Source organism: Homo sapiens, chromosome 4, assembly GCF_000001405.40.
Source record: "Homo sapiens chromosome 4, GRCh38.p14 Primary Assembly".
Classification (NCBI taxonomy): Eukaryota; Metazoa; Chordata; class Mammalia; order Primates; family Hominidae; genus Homo; species Homo sapiens.
Genome location: NC_000004.12, coordinates 78,877,458 through 78,901,380, shown reverse-complemented (window position 1 = coordinate 78,901,380; position 23,923 = coordinate 78,877,458). Strand labels below are relative to the sequence as shown.

Below are 23,923 nucleotides of genomic sequence, written 5' to 3'. Positions count from 1 at the left end.
TAAATTTTACAAGAAGTTTGGGCTGGGCACAATGGCTCTTGCCTGTAATCCCAGCACTTTGGGAGGCTGAGGTAAAAGGCTTTCTTGAGACCAGGAATTAGAGACAAGCCTAGGCAACATAGTAAGACCTAGTCTCTACAAAAAAAAAAATAATAAAATAAAATAAAAAAGTAGCTGAGAATGGTGGTGCACACCTATAGTCCCAGCTACTTGGGAGGCTGAGAGAGTAGGATTGCTTGAGCCCAAGAGGTCCGGGCTGTAGTAAGCCTATGATCACGCCACTGCACTCCAGCCTGGGCAACAGAGCAAGACTCTTATCTCAAAAAAGGAAAACAAGTTTGCCAATACTCAATATCAAATGGTTAATCTGTGATAGAACTAAGATTTTTAACTCAGGGTTTTATAATTCCAAAGTCAATGGTCTTTTGATAAACCACACTACTAACATCAGTTTTATAACCTGCCATAAAAGGCAAATATAATTCATGATAATTAAAATATCAACTTGTGGAATAAAACATAACATTTGCATATAGCAAACAGATTATTGATACAATTATTTGATTTTTGCGTAAATGGATCATTATAAATTTAACTTTCCCAGAAATCAATGTTTAAAATTAAGAAGAGAAAAAACTAGACTTGATTCATTTTAAGACATAGTCTATCTAAATGTTATATTCAGCTAATCTTTCTAAAAGTCTGGAAATGATATCATAAACTAAGGCAACAAATAAATCAGAAAGATCATTCTTTGTGGCCAAAGTAAGGTAGGCCAGCTGACTGAACCAGACTGTGAATACATGAATTATCCTTAATTCCCTATCACAAACCTATTTACAGCTATTCCCAGTCTCAAGGAGAAAAATTTTTATGTCTTGTTAGACTCTCATTTTTCCATCTGTGCTACTGACTTTATCTCTCCAGAATACTGTTTATTCCTTCTCCTTCCTTCACTTTCAGTCTTTCTATATACAGTTGAGCCTTGAACAATGAGGGGATTAGAGGTATCAACCTCCGACACAGTCAAAAATCCATGTGTAACTTTTAACTCCTCAAAAACTTAACTGCTAATAGCCTACTGTTAACCAGAAGCCTTGCTGATAACATAATCAACTAATAACATATTTTGAATGTTATATTATACACTGTATTCTTAAAGAGAAAACAAAATGTCAATAAGATATTTACTACTAATTAAGTGAAAGTAGATCATCATAAAGGTCCTCATCCTCATCGTCTTCACATTGAGTAGGCTGAGGAGCAAAGAAGAGGGGTTGTTCTTGCTGTAGGCATTTAGACACAAAAGAAGATAGGGATAGCAGAGGCGAAAGAAAATTAGTGTATAAAGGAATCCACACAGTTCAAACCCGTGTTGTTCAAGGATCGACTGTATATATCAACACTCACTCTCACATCATATAATTTTCTTGTCTTGCCCATATAAAATCTAAATTCTTCCCTTAATCCTTACCTACCTACCTTTCTCTGTTCTCAGCACAGCTGGACTCTTGGAAAGAATAATCTGTTGCTAATATCTCAACTTCTTCAACTCTCATTCACTTCTCAAATCCACTGCAATCAGGATTCCAACCGCATTATTTTTGCCAAGATAAAATAATTACTAAATGCTAAATCTAATGGACTATTTCCAGTCACCCTAACCCTGTAACCCTGTGGACATTTCAAAAGATATGCTCAATCCTTTGGGAAAAAAAAAAAAAATTCTTTCTTCAGCCCTCCTGTACTTCTCCTGTTTCTATGGTCCTTCTTTCTCTATCCCTTTTCTTATCTCCTTTGTCTTGCCTCTTCACTGTTAGAATTAACCTGAATTTTCTTCTTCTCATCCCTCTTCTAGTCTCTTCTAACTGGCATGAACTACCACTTTCTTGATGGTAAACCCAATGGCCAAGATTTCTGTCTTGGATGTCTTCTTTTGTGTCTAAATGCCTACTAAAAAGATTCCAGTGCCCCTACAGACAACTCAAACTCAACCTATGTGAATGTGAACTCTTTTCTTGACCTACCCTATATTCTCCCTTTCCAGAAAAGAACTTCACCAATTTTGCTGAAACAAAAATCTGCTAATCATTTTAGATTCCTCTCTTTCCTTCAAGGTCCCCTGTTCCCTCCCATATGGTTACTAAATCCTATATATTCTGCCCCTCTAAATCTCTCTCAGGCTGTTATTTCAAGCATGGAGTCTTTTGCAATAGACTTACTTTAAGAGAAGGGGTCTCACTATGTTGCCCAGGCTGGAGTGCAGTGGCTATTCATAGGCATGATCCCACTACTGATCAGCACCGGAGTTTTGACCTGCTCTACTTCCAACCTGAGCCAGTTCACCCTTCCTTAGGCAACCTGGTGGTCCCCCTCGCTTCCTGGAGGTCACCATATTGAGGTCCAACTTAGTGCAGACACAGGATCAGCATAGTGCATTGCAGTCCAGAACTACTGGGCTCAAGCAGTCCTCTCGCCTAAGCCTCCCGAGCAGCTGGGACTACAAGCACATGCCACTGCACCAGCTGCAATAATCTTTTAATCACTACTTCTCAGACTTGAAGTAGTGAAGCAATAGGTTTATTTCTTATTTTTGTTAATATCCCAATTCACATTGTCCAAGTGATTCAATACATATAAAGTTATTTCTCACTTGCTTTCAATTTCTGTAGTCATTTTGTTGCAGACCACACTTTGAGGAGCAATGGTCTTTTTTTTTTTTTGAGATGGAGTCTCGCTCTGTCGCCCAATGGAAGGACTTTAAACAGGAAAGGAATATGATTAGATATACAGTCTAGAAAGATTACAGTCTTTCCAGTGTAATCTTTCTAGACTGTATTAATCATATTCCTTTCCTGTTTTAAAGTCCTTCCATTTCTACCTATTACCTCCACTGTCTCCATATCATGATAGCCCCTGCCAACCTCTCCAGTTTAATTCAATATATAACTATTATTGCTAACATCCTGAAGTTCTTCAAGAATCATACACTAGAATCTAAAATAAACAATACACCTTATTGTAGCTTATAAAATGGCCCAGCAGTGGACTGACAATCTGTAAATGTTATGTTCCAACAAATATTTGCTCTATGTAATGTAATGTTTCCCAATCCTAAACTCAATTTAACTTCCTATTAGATAATAAAGCCCACAGGGTGGGTCTAGGGTCTTTGGGAGCGTTGAGGAAGTTTACCAAACCTAATACTGCCATCCTCAAATACCTGCAATTCTCTGAACATACTGAATTGTCTTAGAACTTTGCTCACAACTGTTCTCTCTGCTCTGAATGCCCTCTTCATTCCTGTAAGTTCACATGCATTCATTTCTCAGGGCTTAACCATAAGTAACATCTTTCTCATGAAGCTTTCCTCATTTCCCAATCCCAACTCAACCAGAATAAAGCAACTCTCTCCTTTGTGCACCAACAGAATAATTTATCTATTGTAGCATTTGCATCTTAATTGCATGTAGTTTTCATGACTCTCTCAACCTAACCAATCTCGAAGTCCTTGAGAGGCAAGGGCTGTAATCTTTATAATAATCCTTTTAGATTTTCAGATAAAACTCTATCCAGTAATAGAAATAGCTCCTGAATTAACTTCTGAGACTATGCCCATATTAATCACGGCTGGGAAATTAGAAGGTAGAAGAAATAAGAGGCACCAATGCAAATATAAATTAAAACAAATTATCTGTACATGGTAGGATACTTAGCGCTATAAAAAATGCTATGAAAACACAGAAGTAGCAAGAAAAAGGATCAAAAAGTTTTACATACACTATGCTTAACAGGTATAAATATTAGATCTACAAGGAAAATGAAGTAAATGGTTCAAAATTCAAATAGCTGTGCTAATATAATGATGAGATTGTGTTTTTCCTATATTATTCAAAGTTTTATGATATAGTTAATTTTTCATTATAAATTTTTAATTCAATTATAGCAGAGACACATTTGTACATTGCTACATAATCTTCACTTCCATCATTTTAAAAACAGCACTAAATTTTAATTACTAAATAAGCCATAATTTAATATTTCACCTAATATTGGATATTTAGGGCACTTTAAATTTTGTTTCTACAACTAATGTTGTACTGAACATTTTTATAGCTGCACTTTTCCCCAAGATGTTATGTTATTTTCTTAAGGTAAGTTCCCAGAAATAAGGCTTAAAAAAATCAAAAAAACATTTTCTTAAGCTGCTCTCAAAAAAAAGTTTTACCAATTTATGCCATCAGCAATATCTTATGCTAATTTTACTCCATATTTTAAGCATTATATATATATATAAAATCATACTAAATTGTATTTACTTACCAGCTCCATTGTACATTTCCCCCCAAGCAATATATTTCAAGAGAGGAAACTATCAAAACTCTAAGATTAAGCTTCCCAAGTAAATGAGCATTTTTTGAAAACTTCCAGTGGGAGCATAAATCAGTGTATTCATTCTGTAGGCCCATCTAGCAATAAATCCATTCTGTAAATGTACATGCTCTTGGCCATTAGTCCTCCTCTAGGAATAATGTCATGTGCCAAATGTTCATGTGTAAGGATATTCAATAAAGAATTATTTAAAATATTGCAAACTCTTCTTGATGGATTTGCAAAAGCAGCAGCAAAGAAATATTGTGATAAAAAACAGTTTAAATATTAGAAATTTAACAACTTCTAGAAATTCCCATAAAATTAAAAAGATAATTCATTTGTAAAAATCAAGTAGACATATTAGTCTCATAGTTGAGATCTCACTGCACTGCATTCACCATGTATAATAATCATGACAAAATCTAATGTTTCCTGAAAAACTATGTGCCAGTCACTTTTTGTGCTTCACATATATTTTTCTTATTAATCACTAAAAACCCTGAGTCACATGTTATGGACTATTACCCCCATTTTATAGATGAGGAAACTGATACACACAGCAAGTAGGTGATTTGCCTGGGTCAAATGCTATCAATAGACTTTAAACTGAACCCAGATAATTTTAACTTCAAGAATTTACTCATATAATTTTTAAATATAAGTACAATTAAATGTTATTTCTGATCCCTACTTTTTCAATACACATGCTTTGAGTATTTTATCATAGTATAGGCATTTGTATAAAAAACTGCCAAAATTTGATAGTTTGATCACTGGCTCACCAAGCCCAATATTCCATCTCTGGCAGTGACAGTAGGATTATTAGTTGTGAGAAAAATGAATGTCATTTATAATCTTGGCTGCAAAAAAGTTAGGTTATAGATTCATAAAGGTAAGGAAAGAAAATTAAAAGCACCCTATGTTTCAATTAATTAAACACTGTATTTGGACTTGGCAGGATGGCTCACGCCTGTAATCCCAGCATTGTGGGAGGCCAAGGCAGGATTGCTTGAACCCAGAAATTCAAGATCAGCCTATTCAACACAGCGAGACCTTGTCTCTACTAAAAATTAAAAAATTAGCTGGGCGAGGTAGCTTCTGCTTGTAGTCCAGGCTTCTTAGGAGGCTAAGGTGGGAGGACTGCTTGAGCTCAGGAGTTCAAGGTTGCAGTGAACCGTGATCATGCCACTGCACTCCAGCCTGGGCAAAAAAGCAAAATGCTGTTTCAAAAACAACAACAACAAAAGCTGTGTTCATATAAAAATTAGAGTACAATTGGCAATGATATTATAGTCCTTTTGCTCCATAAAATTTTGATGATTTTTCTTTAACAATAGATATGAGCTAAATTCCCATCTACATCCCAACTTCCATTAATAAATCTATAGATCCATCTTCTTATTTTTTCCCAAGTCTCACTTTCAACTTTTATTTCATTACCTCTTTTTTTTTTAGGTGTCAGTTCTTTTATTTCTTCTAGTATCATTTACTTCAAGGGAATCCTCAATGTCAAGTATTTTTTAAAAATTTATCCTAAACCCTCTGGGATTTCAACCTTTAATCAAAACACTTTTTGAAATTTGTGAGAAATTAGAAAAATTATAAACTATGTGGCAAATTCAGCATATCAAAATGTGTGAAATGCAGCTAAACTGTGTTTGCAGAGAAATCTGTACCTTAAACCCTATGCTTTAAAAAGATCAGTGTAAAATTAAATACAGGTGTACGTTTTTGTATTGTGCCAGACTTCACTGTATTTCCAAGATTGACTTTCTAAAAAAATTAAAACTCTGTAGCAAGCCTATGTTGAACAAGTCTATCACTGCCATTTTTTTAAAAGCATGTGATTACTTTGTGTCTCTATGTCACATTCTGGTAATTCTTACAATATTTAAAACTTTTTCATTATTATTGTATCTGTTACGGTGACCCTGTGATCAGTGATCTTTGATGTTACTACTGTAATTGTTTTGGGCTCCACAAACTGAGCCCATATAAGACAGCAAACTTAACTGATAAATGTTTATGTGTTCTGACTGATCTACCGACCAGCTGTTCCGTGTCTCTCTCCCTTTCCTTAGGTCTCCCTATTCCCTGAGACACAACAATATTGAAATTAGGCCAATTAATAACCCCACAATGGCCTCTAAGTGTTCAGGTGAAAGGACGAGATGCATCTGTCACTTTAAATCAAGAGTTAGAAATGACTAAGCTTAGAGAGGAAAGCACGCTGAAAGCTGAGATAGGTCAAAAGCTAGGCCTCTTGCACCAGTTAGCCAAGTGAACACAAAGGAAAAATTATTGAAGGAAATTAAAAGTGATACTCCAGTGATCAGTGATGAACGGTAAGAAAGGAAAACAACCTTACTGCTGATATGGAGAAAATTTTAATGGTCTGGACAGAAGATCAAACCAACCACTGCGTTCCCGTAAGCCAAAGCCTTAATCCAGAGCAAGGCTCTAACTCTCTTCAATCCTATGAAGGCTGAGTGAAGTGAGAAACCTGCAGAAGAAAAATCTGAAGCTAGTAGAGGTTGGATCATGAGCTGTAAGGAAAGAAGCCATCTCCAGAACATGTAAGTACAGGTAACGCAGGAAGTGTAACAAGTTATCCGGAAGATTTCACTAAGATCACTGATGAAGGTGGCTACACTAAACAACAGATTTTCAATACAGAAAACAGCCTTCTATTGGAAGATGCCATCTAGGACTTTTAGAGCTATAGTTAAGTCCATGTCTGGCTTCAAAGATTCAAAGGACAGACTGACTCTCTTGTTAGGAGCTAATGCAATTGGTGACTTTAAGTTGAAACCAATGCTTACTTGCCATTCCAAAACTTCGAGGCCCTTAAGAACTATGCTAAAACTACTCTGTTTGTGTTCTATAAATGAAATAACAAAGCCTGGATGACATCACATCTGTTTCCAGCATAGTTTACTGATTATTTGAAACCCACTCTTGAAATCTACTGCTCAGAAAAGAAGATTCCTTTCAAAATATTCCTGCTCATTGACAATGCACCTGTCACCCAAGAGCTCTGATGGAGAAGTACAAGAAGATTACTGTTGTTTTCATGCCTGCTAAAATAACATCCCATCTGCAGCCCATGGATCAAGCAGTAATTGTGTCTTTCAAGTCTTATTAGCTGGGCTTGGTGGCTCACACTATAATCCCAGCTACTCTGGAGGTTGAGGTGAGAGGGCTGCTTGAGGCCAGGAGTTCAAGACGAACCTGGGCAACATAGTGAGACCCAAACTCTAAGGAAAACTTTAAAGAATTTCGCAGGTGTTGTAGTGCATGCCTATAGTCCCAGCTACATGGGATGCTGAGGCGGGAGGATCACTGGAGCCCAGGAGTTCGAGGCCATAGTGAGTTATGACCATGCCACTCCATTCCAGCCTGGAAGACAAAGCAGGACCCATTTTTAAAAGTCTTATTATTTAAGAAATACATTTCATAAGGTTATAACTGTTACAGATAGTGAATTCTCTCATGAATCTGTGCAAAGTAAACTGAAAACCTGAAAAGAATTCACCATTCTAGATTTCATTAAAATCATTCGTGATTCGTAAGAACAGGTCAAAATATCAACATTAACAAGACTCTGGAAGTTGACTCCAACCCTCATGGATGATTTTGAAGGGTTTAAGATTTCAGTGAAGGAAGTAACTGCAGATGTCATGGAAAGAGCAAGAGAACTAGAAATAGAACCTAAAAATGTGACTGAATTGTTGCAGTCTCGTAATCAAACTGGAACAGATGAGGAGTTGCTTATGCTTGAGCAAAGAAGTGGTTTCTTGAGATGGAATCTGTTCCTGGTGAAGATGCTGTGAACACTGCTGAAATGACTCCAAGAATTTAGAATATTACATAAACATAATTCATAAAGCAATGGTATGGTTTGAGGGAATTAACTCCAATTTTGGAAGAAGTTCTACTGTGGATTAAAAAATTATATCAAACAGCATTGCATGTACAGAGAAGTCTTTCATGAAGAGTCCACTGATTTTGCAAACTTAATCATTGTCTTATTTTAAGAAATTACCATAGCCACCCCTTCTTTCAGCAACCAACACCCTAATCCATCAGCAGCCTTCAATACTGAGGCAAGACCTGCCACCAGCAAAAAGATTACAACCAGCTGAAGGTTCAGATGATTGTTAGCATTTTTTATCAATAAGTTATTTTTAAATTATGGTATATACATTTTTTTAGACATAATATTATTGCATACTTAACAGATTACAGCATAGCGTAAATGTAACTTTTGTATGCACTGGGAAACAAAAAAATGTGTGTCCCTCTCTTTATTGCAAAATATTCACTTTTTGTAGTGGTCTGGAATGGAACCTGCAGTATCTCCAAAGTATGCTTGTATTTAAATCTTGCTTAAGAAGCTAGAGAAAGAGTAGCAAATTATTCCTGAAATAGGTAGAAGAAAACATAAAAATTTTAGCATATGTCAATAAATAAAGAGCAGATAAAGTCAAAAGTTGGTTCTTTAAAGAGATTAATACCTTAGCAAGTTTGATAAAAAGGGGAAAACACAAATTACTACCATTAGGTATAAAAACGGAATATCAGAATAGATCCTCCACATTTTCAAATGATGATACTGGAACATTATTAAAAACTTCACGTCAATAAAACCCAGTATCTCAAGTGAAATGTACAAATTTCTTTAAAAATATAAATTTCAAAATTTACAATGTAAGAAAACTGAACATCTAAACGGCCCTATAACTATTAAAGATATTAAATATGTAATTAAAAACCTTTTCACAAAGGTAACTTGAAGCCCAGTTTGCTTCACAGGTGAATTCTAAATATTTAGGAAAAAAATCTACATCATACACTAACTCTTACAGAAAGTACAAGTAACATTTCCCAACTCATTTTACGAGACCAACATAACTCTGAAACAAAAGCCTGACAGATTACAAGGAAAGAAAACCAAAGTTCAATATCCTTCATGAATAAAACATCCTTTTAAAGACTGAAAACAGCAATATTTTTTATAAAAGAAATCATGGTCAACTAGGTTGTTTCCAAGAAATTCAGTGTCGGTTTGGCATTTCCCACTAGTCTCATCCTTCCCCACTTCTCCATCACATTTTAGACTCAGTAATCTGTATCAAACTAAAGGATTTCTCAAGCCTGGGAAACACTGTATCTAATAAGCAAACTTCTTTACATCCTTCAGGTCTCAGTTTAAGGCTACCTTCTCTGGGAAGAAAATAATTTACAATAATTTGCTGAAACTCTTAGAGTGAAAGATAAAGAAAAGAGAAGAAAAGGTGTGGCAAAATGTGCAAAACCAAAGTATCCTCAGACAAATTAAAATATACTGCATCCAATAATATGTTATTTGCAATCAGAAATAATGTCTGTAATATAAAGCCAAGGAAATTTCTAAGATGCAAATATAAAAGACAAAGAGCTAGAAAACAGAGGAGAACAAAATTTAAATTAGAGGTTCAATCCAAACGGCACAATATCCTAGTAAGAGGAATGATTTTAAAAGAAGAAAGTCCAGAAAGAGGAAGAAAAAATTACCAAAGCATATACAGCAAGAAAATACAAGTTTCCAGGCTAAATAAGTAAGGCCCACTAGGTCCCCAGCACAATGAATAAAAGGTACAACATCTTGAATATTCAGAACAAGTTAATACAGATGCTACAAATGTCCATGGTGGGGTAAGGAGGAAGAGAAAGAGGAGCAGGAATAAGAAAAAGAGGAAGAAGAAGAAACCTACCACAGTTCACACATAAAGGATCAGAAAAGAGAATAATATCAGATTTCTCAACAGAAATATGAGAAGCTAAAATACTATGAAGCAGTGCCTCTTAAAACTCACAGGGAAAATTATATCTAACCTAAAATTATTTGCCCTGCCAAATTATCAATCAGGTATCAGTTTAGGGAAAATACAAACTTTTAGGCAGCAAAGTTTATTTTGTATTTATTTTTGTAGAGACAAGGTCTCACTATGTCACCCAGACTGGTCTTAAACTCTTGGCCTCAAGCAAGCAATCCTCCCACCTCAGCCTCCCAAAATGCTGGGATTACAGGCATGAGCCACCCCACCCAGCCTAGGCAGCAAAGCTTAGAACTTCCTCTCATGCATATTTTCTCAAGCAACAACTAGAGGAGTTGCTTTACTAACAAACCAAGAAAAAGGATGAGAAGAGCTCCAGGAATTTCCATAAAGATTGGTGGGAAAAATACTAGAATTATAAGTGTGACAGCTCCAGAAAGCAACCAGTTCTGATTGCAGAGCTCCATGAGAGATGTAATGAAGAATGAAAATGATAGCCACCTTAAACTGGGAGGAAATTTACACTTCTAAATGAAGATTAATCAATGATAGGGTACATAAAAAACTAAGCAAACAAAAAACATAGTGATTATAAACACAGTAATTAACTCCAGGAAAAACAAAGACAGGAAATGTGATCATGGGATAGATAATAAACCTCAGTGGTGACAAATATTTACATATTAAAAAAATGTAGACACTGAACACTGAATCAACCAAAAACTGTGTCAAAAACATGCTGGATGTAAGGACAGGACACGTGTGTGTGTGTGTGTGTGTGTGCGCATGATTGTGTATGTGTGAGGCGGACAAACTGTAAAATATCTAAATCAAAAAAAAATCTCATTTTCCATAATAGAAAGTCCATAGCTATTGTTTTAAAAAGTGCAGAGGTAAGAAATAGCATAATTAGCATGATATATTAAAATGCCAGAAGTGAAAAATTACCTCTAAGGAGTTTAAGTAGGAAAAGGGGACTGGGAGGGAACAGGAAAGGAAGTGATTTTTTTTTTTCCATTTCAAATCTTGTTAAATCTGACTTTTTAAACTATATACATACTTTAATAAAGTTTCAATTTACAAATCACTTTGTAAGATTATGAAAAACTGCAGAAAAAAGTATATACTAATCTATTACAGTATCAAAGTTGAGGTTAAAAGTTTTCACAGAAACTTTTTCTTTCAAAATAAAAAGAGCACAATTCCTAATAAAACCAGTGTAAGGAACACTAGATTCAGGACAGTGGTTCTTAAATGAACATTAGCATTAGACTTAAAACTTAACTAAGTTCTTACAAGCATTCTGCTGCATAAATTCATTTTATTCTCAAGTAGCATTCTCTATATGGTTTACTAAAAATTAAATTCTGTTTAGTAATTGTCAACTCTCAAATTCAAATAAGATGGCTTATCGCATATACTTATCATTCTGTATTGTATATACACACATACACCTGGGAGTAGTTTTTTGCCTTTCTTGGGTCCTAGTCCTAGAAATCTCCAGATGCTTTTTCAGTCTCACAACGCTAGTAGAGTGTATTTTCATTGGATAGAACTCCTTTGTCCAACTTTTTCCTAAAGCTTATAGGGAGGTTAATTCTTGTTTCAGTAGGTTCAATTATTTTGCTATTAAAGAAAAATGAATGTCCCCAAATACATTTTTACCTAAAAATTATACATGACAAAGTATTTCAAAGCTTTATAATAAGTAGCAATATATTTAGATTTTTTAACTTAATATTTTAGATCTGACATATATCAAATTAACAGTGCTAATATTGCACAGTGATCACTTTTTCTTCTTTCTCAGGAGACGCATTTCTCCTATGACCATACTCTCCTTTATTCCAGTCTATATACTTTTTTCATAACCAAACCAGTCCAATATTTATGTTCACACTGTTTAAAAAGATTTCTTTAAAAGGTAGCATTTATATTAATGGGCTTTTTTTTTTTTTTTTTTTTTTGAGACAGAGTCTCACTCTATCGCCCAGGTTGGAGTGCACTGGCACGATCTCGGCTCACTGCAAACTCCGCCTCCCGGGTTCACGCCATTCTCCTGCCTTAGCCTCCCGAGTAGCTGGGATTACAGGCACCCACCACCACGCCTGGCTGATTTTTTGTATTTTTAGTAGAGATGGGGTTTCACCGTGTTAGCCAGGATGGTCTTGATCTCCTGACCTCATGATCCGCCTGCCTTGGCCTCCCAAAGTGCTGGGATTACAGGCGCAAGCCACCGCGCCCGGCCCATTAATGGGCATTTTTTTTAAGGCCACTGTCCTAAATCTAAGGAATATGAATTTTTATAGATAGTCATGATTTTTTTCTGCACATTCAATGAACAGTATTAGGTACCTACTGGGTTGTATACTGGGCAGGATTCAAAGATAGACAATTCATATTTCCCACCCTCAATTAGCTTAAAATCTAATATAAATACCCATAGTAAACAGTTAAACAAAATAGCAGCAATCGAGCTCAAACCTGTGAACATGTTGCGAAGTACAAAATCTTTAGGCCAACCTCCAAATAAGGGTGTCCAGAGAAAAGACCAATCACTGAAGCTTACTTCAGTTCTCCTAACTCTACTATTCATTTCCCCAGGGTTCTTTCAGATGCTATTAAACATCAGAGAAGTAGTTGTATAGGTCCATGCAAACCTGAAAAGGATAATGCAATTCCTAACAGAGGATGTAAAAGAGCTAGTACTGAAACTGCCTTCTACCACACAGAGATCAGTATCTCAAGTCATTGAATACTATGTTCTTGAGAACTTACAATGACTATTTTGAGTTATTATAATTTTAGACAGTAATAATTCCATTACCCAGGGTATTGGGGGTATAAGGGAACACATTTATGCAGAATAAGTAAACAGACACAGTAAGCTATGTTCCCCAGTTAATTATGTCATTTATGAAAAAGAAAACTTGAAAGCAGCAAACAGAAAACAGCAAGAATAGGAACTGTTTTTAATAAATGTCAAAGAGAAAAATATGGAGTATGAAAGCAATGAAAAAACTATCCTGTATATTCCAGATAACCAAACAAGTCTGAATGTTGAAAAGCTGTTCAATGTACTCAGCAGAAATCCTAAACACTCAATTCTTCTTTTGGCTTTACATTTGTAAGTTTTTCTTTTGTTGTTAATTCTGTAGTTTTCAAATGGTGTTACATATGTAACTTGCCTGAGTGAGAAACAAAAGGAACAGAACTGAAGAACATGGCCGACAGTTACCATGAATATATCGAACTTTTACCTTCTAATAAAGCATAACTTCTTCTAACATATTTCCCTTTGCCAAGATTAAAACTCTTTTTTTCCACTATAACCATACATACATGAAAATTCATTTATGCCAATGCACGATCCTATTCCATCCTAGTATCTTCCAAGTGTTAACTGGGTAATTTGAAATTATTACTGAAAATTTTTAACAGTGAAAAACATCAATATTTGAATTCTGAATTGAAATCAAAAGAGGGATATAAGAAGACAAGAGTAAAACAAAGTGATTGTGACAAATACAAAATTATTAATACTTTTAAAATGCATCTACAAGAGAGCATGTACAAACTAGGAAAATATCAAATTTTTAAGCAAAAGCCAAGTATAAAAATATCTTTAAATATTTTTTTCAACAGTATCCAATAATAAAGATGAAAAGAAGCAGTTATGTTTCTATTGTGTAAATCAGCATTTTTCTATGTTGGCAAAGATACAACTGAATAATAACTCAATGCAAAGAACATCATTAAGAAGAGTAGGATGGCTAAAGGTTAAAATATTTTCTACTTTCTGTAGCTAACTAACATCAGAGTCTTACTTCCACTTTATAAGATTTTGCTGTTGTTCTTGTGTGTTTTATTTGTGACAGTGATGATGTTACATGTGTAACTTGCCTGAATGAGAAATGAAAGGAACAGAACCAAAAGGATCTTCTGGAGGATGGTTATGTGGAGCAGAAAGTGAGTCTACATTCTTATCTGAGGATGCTCTCTCCTCGAGCCTATCTGCAAAAATAAGATGAAACGAAATAAAAAATGAAATGAAATAAAAATGATCTTTAAATTAAAAAGTGATATACATATAAATAAAAGTGAAAATTAAAGCACCAGCCTTTTTGCAAAACATTAGGTTCAGAATCTATCACTGTAAGTATTAGGGAGTAGTCCTGAATTTAATACATATTTGTTGCTGCAAAAGCAAATTTAACAATATAATCCGTGATAGGTTTCACTAAATACAATTAACCCAACAATAAACTTAGTCTGATTCATTTAAATACTACTTGTCCTCAACTTTTGGGCCTGAACTCAAACCCAGCTAAATAAACAGAGACATATTTGACAGACAGTCTCCAAAAATAAATTTAGAAAAAATCTTGCAAATGGTCATTCATCCATAAAGTAGGTAAATCTTACTTCTCAATAGTAATAAAAAGTAATTCACTATATCTTACTTTTTTGTTCTTTTTTTGTACTACTTTGTACTATCAAACCATTCTCTCTCTCGCACACACACACACAAACACACATGCCCCCACGTACACTCACAAAAACTTACACAAAAACAGAGTTTATTGATTCATTCAACAAGTAAATTTTAGTATCTACTATGTGCCAATGTGCCAGGCACTATTCTAGGCAACTGGCATGTAAGGTCAAACAAAACAAAGACCCCTGCCCTTATGCAGTTTATATGCTGGTGTGGAAAAAACAAATAATAGGCAATAGGCATAATAAGAAATGTATATGGTGTATTAAAAGCTATAGAGAAAAATGTAGTGCAGGGAAACAGGAATTGAGGAAGTGGGTAGAGGTTTTAGTAACAGAGTGATTCTATTAGTTACTAGGTAAGAAAAGACTTGAAGGACGCAAGGGAGTAAATATCTAGGAAAGAACAATCAGGTAGAGAAAGAGCTGGAGCGAAGACTCTAAGGCAAGAGGCCCGGTGTGTTTTGAGTTGATATATCCTGACTCCCTAGTAATGATTATCTTTTCCTTGCTCTTAAACTCTCCATACAGTTCAGGGATGGGGGCTCACACCTATAATCCCAGCACTCTGGGAGACCAAGGCAGGAGGATTTCTTGAAACCAGCCTGAGCAACACAGTGAGATGACTTTTTTCACCAAGCATGTAATAAAATTTGAATCTCTCCCGATCTTTACAGAATGTTAACTTCACAATATTCTATAACAGTCAATAACACATTACTTTAAGAATGCAAAAATACTACTAAAAATTGAGGCTACAGTGAGGCAAAACTGTACCACTGCATTCCAGCCTGGATGACAGAGAGACTCTGTCTCTAAAACCAACAAAAAAACTCTCCACATAGTAGACACATACTAGTTGAGAACTTCCTGATTTTTGTAGGATGTCTCTCTAGCCTCTGATTCTTGGCAATCAAAATTCTATTTGAGACTCATTCTACCTCCTTTCCAGATATTTCAAGCATTTCTACCAGCAGACCTTTGGTCCACAGCCATTTGAAAAAATCCAAATCATGTTTAGACTGACCTATATTCCAAGAATTCCATGGTAAGCTGTACTGGTTTCAACTGAGTTCTAAGGGACTGCAGTGTAGGGGAGGCAGAACCCAAGTAGAATTGGAATTCCCTAAAAATGACTTTTAATTTTGGAGTGAAGCAAAAAGCCCCAAGTTCAAGCAGCATCTCTTCTAACAGTGCTTTTTACATTTAATGTACATTTCAGTTACCTGGGGATTTGTTAAAATGTAGACTCTGATGGGATGAGTTTGGGGAGGATCCTGACATTCCACACTTCAACTAGCCCCCCAGTGATACTGACACTGCTGTCCAAGAAGTACACTCTTGAATAAACAAGGCCCTAGAGTCTATTATATTCTAAATATAATTACTCCTATGGGCAACTAATTCTTTCAAAACCTTTATGACAACGGGACAATTACCAGCTCTTACAGCTAAGATGAACTCTGCAGTATCTACATGAAACTTTGGATTGTTTAAATTTTTACTTAAAATTTTGTTGAAACACTATTAAACATTTTGTTGAGGCACTAATATTGAGTTACTAAATACATCTGACAATTGTTTTATGAACAAACAAAACTTCCTAAACTTAAGTGCTACTTTTCAAATCCAACACTGCATTGGTTAACAATGAAAATTCATTTTGGGTATTATTTTTCAAGATATTAACTGTATACTTAATGCAGGAAATCAGTAACAAATGCTCATTTTACTAAAAACTTTTTATTATTTTGTTGTCAAAACACCCATTAAAGAGTAGCTAGTCCCATAACATCTTTCTGCAAAAGGTTGAAGAATAATTTATATAACGAAGGGTCCCTAACTTATTGTGGTGGGAGGCCACAATCAAACCTTAAGGTGAGGATTAAGATTCACTGAGTCATAGAGATTACATGTGGTTACCTATTTATTCAGGCCCTGAATGCATTTATGGAGGAACTGTAAAACCAGTAATTATGCCTTGTATCAGAATCCACCTGGACTCCCCCACTCTTCTCCATTTCCCAAATTCCAGTGTATAAAGCACTGAGGACAGAGAAAAGAGGGGGTGAGAAAGAACAAATGGAAGAGACTGACTCAGAATGATAACTACAGCATGTCAATATCCAAGGGCCCTCATTCCTGAAAATTAAGACCAAAAGTATAAGTATTTAGGTCTGAATTAGAAACAGACTTTTTGCCTCAACCATCTGCATCATAACTGCTAGGATTCCTGTATAAAATGTAGTTACCTGGACCCAACCGTAGACTTGATTCATTAGGTCTACTTGATTCATTAGGTAGTAACTTAGGAATCTGCAATTTTATATACTGGTTTTTTTTGTTTGTTTTATTTTATGTTTTGAGACAGGGTCTCACTCTTTCACCCAACCTAGAGCGCAGTGGCATGATCATGGCTCACTGTGGCCTCAACCTCTCAGGTTCAAGCGATCCTCCAATCTCAGCCTCCCAAGTTGCTGGCACTAGAGGCACAGGCCACCACGTTCAGCTAATTTTTTATTTTTTGTAGAGATAAGCTCTATGTTGCCCAGGCTGGTCTCAAACTCCTAGACTCAAGCAATCCTCCCAAAGTGCTGGATTATAGGCAGGAGCCACCACACCCAGCCTCTCAGCACGTTTGTTTGTGAGACAGAGCCTTGCTGTTTCACCCAGGCTGTAATACAGTGGCATGATCTTGGCTCACTGCAACCTCTGCCTCCCAGGCTCAGCCTCTGGAGTAGCTGGGACTACAGGCACACCATACTTGGCTAATTTTATTTTTTTAATTTTTTGTAGACACAAGGTCTCACTATATTGCTCAGGCTAGTCTCGAACTCCTGGCCTCAAGCAATCCTCCCACCTCAACCTCCAAAGTAGCAGGATTACAGGCATGAACCACCACACCTGACCCTCTCCACGTATTTAAACCACTACTATAATAATGAGTCCCAGCTTATAAAACTGTGAAGTTATCACTAAGGTTCTTTAAATCCTCATGCACTGGGTATATTACATCCATCAGTCTGTGGTAAATTTATGGTAAGTATATAAACAGTACTGTGAAATTATGACAAAACTATACACATTATCATGTAGAGGGGAACTTATTTTTATGTAGGGGTCCCTATAAGTAAAAATATGGAAGATACTGCTCTATGCTAAGTCCATTTATCCAGTTATTTCAAAATAGGAATCAGAATAAATTCACTGTAAAATGAATAATGTTATTGTTCCACAAAACACAGAATCAAGTTTTCAATTGAATTTTTAAAAAATCATTTATGTTTCTAAAGTTCACATGAAAATGTGAGTCTCAGGACACAAAATACAAAAGAAATATACACATTAATTTTGTAATTATTAATTACCTACAAATAAAATCTAATGAAATGGTTATGTAGAACTACTTTGTAAATACATAGTCAACCCTAAAATGTTTTTAATTACATTTTCAAATGACTGGTTTTCTTTAGATTAGAACAAAGCTTGATTATCCAATATGAGAAACTTACCTCCTGCCTTCACAAAAGAATTATGTTGGTGAATAAAGACAGTATCTTTTCAAGAATTTTAATTGATACAGATAGCAAAAATATAGGATTTTAAAATCCTAGAATCAAAGTATATTCCATAATATTATCACGAAATTAAAATAGTCTACAAAGTTAATTCTGCTGCTTATATGGATAATGGTGTAAAAGGCTAAAAGGTTAATGAAAAACTCCTGAAACTGGTCTAATATATTTGAAAAGCTCTGTTATTCTACACTGAAGGAACAGTAATAGTTCTGAATTTGCTACAAAAGATGAGGGTTAATATTTTACAATAAACTACAGATTCAGATGCTTATAGCCATTATCATTCTGTGGCTTCATAGGTGAAACAACAACATTCAGTAGAATTTATAAAGCAATCATAATCTTTAGTTATCTTCTATTTTTCTTTTTAGTTATTTTGATCCAATTTTAAGCAGAAACAAATCCACCATCAATAAATGAAATATATTTCATGAAGTAATAGTTTTAATTAACGAGTATAACTATACAACTATTTGCACAAATATGTTAATAATTTCCCCAAAGCAAGCATCTATGTTCTAATTACTGTTTAAAGTATTAAATATTATGGCAATTTTAAATTGTCATATTAAATATTAAAATACTAAAATATTATGACAAATTGCTAAAGTTTACATACTACTCTGGATGTTCTGGTACAAAAAAGTAAAAATACAAACTTAAATTTTAAAAAAATCATTCAGACAAGCTTTATTATTATTGCTTAAATTTGATTTAATGTTTTGTTCTTACTAAAATTAAGAACAGGTAAAACAATTCTGAACCATAAATGGTATTCATTTATAGTGAAGGGTGAAAGCAAGAAGAATCTAGTTTATTTTACATATTAAATCCCTTTGCCTAGTATAGGAAATCAACTGTTTTCTTAAAGATCACTAATTAGTAATATTTTAGAATTTTGATATCTCAAAATACTATTATGATTTGAAAATTACTTTCTGGATAATACACATAAAATATTCCCTAAACAGCATATTATTTTCCTTTTTTTGTTTTTAAAAAAATAACCATGAATCATATTCAAAATAAAACCCCAAATGGGAATGTATTATTCTGAATAATCATTGCATTGGCAATACCTATACTTTTAAGGACCATATAAAGGCTTTCAGTTTCTCACTGGAAAGTGTTTTATAAACCAAATATAAATTATTTTAGAAAAGACTTTGGAAAATTGTTAATACCTGTGTCAAGGAAAAGGGTACAAATATCCTACATTGCATTTCAACTGAATCAACAGTTTATTTATTCATTTTGTAAAATGATAGGATTTATATTATACTGATGGGCAAAATTTTGGAGTCACTGAACCCACTATTTCAGAATTCAAAAAAGGTGAAAGTCATTAAACTTTAAGAAAGTTTAATATAATGACCATCTATCAATTTTCATTGAACAATTAGTCTTCTAATAAACTCTGAAGGTTCTGGAAGAGGTCTTTTGCCCATCAATATAATATAAACTCATCAAATAGATCAAATATTAGATATCTTATTGCTTCTGAAAGAGGTGCTAAAGATGACTAAATATTACAGTTAAGTTAAACTCTGAGAGGAAACCTTTCTAAACTACATTTTATACACAACTTTATAGTAATTACAAACTTTTTTATTAATGACACTTCACCTTTTTTGAACCCTAAAAGAGTGGGTTCAATGACCCCAAAATAGTCACTGAACAATGAGTATCAATTATTAAAGGAAAAACAGACACTTTTCCATCAACTTCCTTGCTATCATTTGTCACTTCTGCTTTTGATGTGTTTGCCCACAAAGCCCCTTCTAATTTGACTGTTAAATTACCACTGAGAAACTAATAATTTAAATATAATTTTTAAATGCTGGCTAAAAGCCAAAAACCTCTTAAGTCATGACATAAAGGCTTATACAGAAAGTGAGAAAAGAGAAAGTGGCATTTATTTATTGAGTGCCCAAATTTAAAGACATCATTTAATTATCTGGACAACCCTATGAAGTAGGCATCATTATCCCCAGTTTATAAATGTGGAAGTGAGACTAACAGCAGTTGAGTGACTTATCTGAGATTACAATCTAGTTAAGTAACATTGTCAGGGATCAAAATTTATGTTTTCTGGTACTGTGTGCCAAATTAAGCACATCAGACTTGTGACAATAATTTCAGTAGCTCATGGACCATGTAGCTGTTTTTCCAAATGGCTAAGGTTGCTCCAAGTCTAACCTTCACATAAAATTCCTCCTGCACTTTCCTTTGGATCTTAGTATCTTTCTGTAATTAATACTGCAAAGTCTGAAGTCTCTTTGGCATACACATGTGCACACAGACACATGCACAATTTACAAATGGCATCTGATCATGAAGTTTAAAATTTACACATTATCTGATCATGAAGTTTTAAGCTATTCTTAAAAATAGCTACTTAAGAATTTTACGTGCTCAACCCAATTTTTATGAAGTTATACACATATAGGCATATTCATATGTCACTCTTGCCTATGCTAAGTAAATAAAACTACTTTGATGTCATTACAAATTCTAGGGAACTTAGAATAACACATTTTTATAAGATACAAAATAATGTGAATACCCATTTCATAAATTCATTTTTTAAAAATAATTTTTTACCTAAGCAGTTGAAAATACTAATTTAGTAAACCCTGGTCAGTACACATTAAAATTAATATCTTTTGCTTTAAATATAATCCTATAAATTATAATGATTTGGTTACACCTTGTATCTACCCCTTCCATAACTCTGAAAGAGCTGGGCATGGTGGCTCACGCCTGTAATCCCAGTACTTTGGGAGGCCGAGGTGGGTGGATCACCTGAGGTCAGGAGTTTGAGACCAGCCTGACCAACATGGAGAAATCCCATCTCTACTAAAAATACAAAATTCGCTGGGCGTGGTGGCACATGCCTGTAATCCCAGCTACTCGGGAGGCTGAGGCAGGAGAATTGCTTGAACCCAGGAGGCGGAGGTTGCGGTGAGCCGAGATTGCGCCATTGCACTCCAGCCTGGGCAACAAGAGCAAAACTCGGTCTCAAAAAACAAAAAACAAACAAACAAAAAATCTTGCTTTTGGGACTACTCAACATAAATTCTAGGAAAATGCCAAACAAAAAAAGCCGTGGTTTAAAAAAAAATTGTTTTAGTAACATGTGATCGGTTTTATTTAGAAACCTTTATTAACGGCTCAGAACTTATTTTTATATCTGCATTTAATCATCAATTTAATTTTCATAATCATATAACCAATATATAAAATACAAATTTAAATCCCAAACTATTCTTACAGGAATTTTACATAAAATATATACCAATTCAGAACAAAGCATTTCATCTATTAAACATTCTCATAAGGCCAATTACCTAAATGAAATAGGAACTAGGAACTATAAACTAGGGATTATTAAGACCTTCTTTTCACATGCAAAAGGGGAAAACACACTTGTTTTGTGTGCACACCTGCACACACATGCGCGTGCACACACACACACACACACAAAGCCTCAGAAACCTGAAAATTATCTACATACTCTAGAAGTGAGCTTTTTGCTCCTATTTGGCAACCTACTCAAAACACTCACATCATTCTTTCAAAAAGGACATTTCTAAAATATGTGTGGCGAAGCTTGACATATATTAGGTAGTTCAAAGAAAAGCAATGATTCCAAGTAAAAACATTGAGATATCTGATTTAAAGTGAAAAAGAATTTATTTAATTTTTGCCATATCAGGACAACAAAGCAGCCCTTTTATGTCACCACTCATTAAAAGGACATTACAAAACATTAACATAATGTAGTAGCCCATGTTTTCTTTCAGGCATTTTCAAAGGGCATCTCAGACCCACAATATTTTCTATTGAGTGTGCAGAAAAACAGAGCTGCAAAATCATTAGTAAGGCAAAATAATAAAATGTCTCCCTTTTTATTGAAACATCAATTTTCCATGTTTTAGAGATATTCTGAATTTAACATTCATAGATATGCAATATTTAAGTTTTAGGATATTAGCATACTATCAGCAATATTGGGTTTAATAGCTACTATCAAGCAACTGATTTCTAATGCACACAACATAATTTGATAGTATATGTATAAGAAGATGGCCTGAATTTTGCCCTCAAATGCACAAAAAGAATTTTCCATACACATTCTCAAAAGTCTTTGGCCTTGCTGAATAATAATAGAGCTGTTATTTTACTGTGAAGCAAAATAAGCCTTCAAGTGTCCCTTACTTGATCTTAGAAGGTCAAATTCTCTGTCCAATAGTTCCTCTTCTGTTAACTTAGAGAAATTATCCTCTCCAAAAGGATTCCACCCTGACATATCAGGTGGATTGCTGATGTTCTTCTGATTTGTGAAATTTGCAATGGCCTCTTTATCAGCAACTGACCTATAGTAATAATTGAGTAAGAAAAAAGAAGATGGAAAGAAAAATTAAAATAAATAAAAATTTACAATGCCCTACTTTATACTTTATAAATACTTAGAAAACCAAATCATTTCCTTATGACAGAGATGACAGACAAGGGCATGAGATGGAGAGGGAGAACATATGGGATCTAGATCACCTCCATAAGGTATACTAGCTCCATAATCACCTACATAAGGTACCCTAGCTGTGTACCCTTGGGCAAGTTCCTTAACTTCTCTGCCTCAACTTCATCTGTAAAAAGGAGTAATAGTATCCACCTCATAGGGTTGCTGAGAAGATTAAATAATTTAATACACGTAAAGCAAAGAGAACAATATCTAGTAAAAATAATAAATATTAACTGTTATTATCATAGTAAACAAGACTTAAAGTAAAAAATCAGTCACCTTATCAGACAGCATCACTCTAAAATCACTACTGAACACAGTGATCAAATGCCTTGGTTATGCTGGGACACCACAGTAATTTTCCTTTTGACAAAGGCATTCCCTATATATAGCTACCAACAAAAGATGAATTGCTAGGACTGCTTTATAAATTAGCTAAAGTTAAATGAGGGTTATTTTTGCATATAATAAATTATTATAGTATTTAAAGTATCTAGAGTCTGGAGCCTGAGACCACTGGTTCTATGAAAATTATCCTACAGGGCTCTTGGCTTTTAAGAGAAGATGAGAATATAAAGATTTCTTAACCCAAGAATCCCTGTGTACCTCTCCCTCAACCCAGCCTGGAAATATAGTCATATACCACATAATGACCTTTCACTCACCAATGGACCATACATATGATGGTGGTTCCATAAGATTAAAATAGAGCTGAAAAATTCCTATCACCTAGTGATATCGTAGCCATTGTAACACCATAGCACAACAGCTTACTCATGTGTTTGTGGTGATGCTGATTTGAACACACCTACTGGGCTGCCAGTTGTATAAAAGTATAGCAATACAATTGTGTACAGTGCATATTTGATAATGACTGTATTACTGCTTTATGTATTTACTGTACCATATTTTTGAGTTATGTTCAAGTATACTCCTACTTATTTTATTTAAAGTCGACTGTAAAACAGCCTCAGGCAGGTCCTTTAGGAGGTATTCCAGGAGAAGGTATTGTTATCATAGGAGATGACAGCTCCATGCCTGTTATTGCCCCTAAAGAACTTGCAGTGAGACAAGATGTGGAGGTGGAAGACAGTGATATTGACAATCCACATCTTGTGTAGGCCCGG

The 23,923-nt window shown here is 34.6% G+C and overlaps 2 protein-coding genes and 1 pseudogene across 10 annotated transcripts in view; 1 reads left to right on the top strand and 2 right to left on the bottom strand.

Moving 5' to 3' along the window:
- Positions 1-14,305, top strand: part of PAQR3 (progestin and adipoQ receptor family member 3) — a 52,363-nt gene extending 38,058 nt beyond the window's left edge. For 2 of the 3 annotated variants that reach the window (XR_938694.4, XR_007096371.1), the window contains one exon: positions 14,072-14,305. The gene's annotated coding sequence lies outside the window, so the exon portion shown is untranslated. Of the gene's footprint in view, positions 1-6,455; positions 8,342-14,071 lie in introns of those variants that run through there. The other variant, XR_007096372.1, reaches the window with a different exon arrangement.
- BMP2K (BMP2 inducible kinase) overlaps positions 1-23,923 on the bottom strand; it is a 140,016-nt gene that overhangs the window by 14,985 nt on the left and 101,108 nt on the right. For 4 of the 7 annotated variants that reach the window (XM_047415932.1, NM_198892.2, XM_017008381.2 and 1 more), the window contains 2 exons: positions 22,490-22,647; positions 14,097-14,207 (listed from right to left, as the gene is read on the bottom strand). In XM_047415932.1, the coding sequence (XP_047271888.1) occupies positions 14,097-14,207; positions 22,490-22,647 (269 nt within the window). Of the gene's footprint in view, positions 1-13,150; positions 13,382-14,096; positions 14,208-21,945; positions 22,648-23,923 lie in introns of those variants that run through there. The other 3 variants (NM_001419800.1, NM_001419799.1, NM_017593.5) reach the window with 3 other exon arrangements.
- Positions 2,227-2,523, bottom strand: RN7SL127P (RNA, 7SL, cytoplasmic 127, pseudogene; annotated as a pseudogene).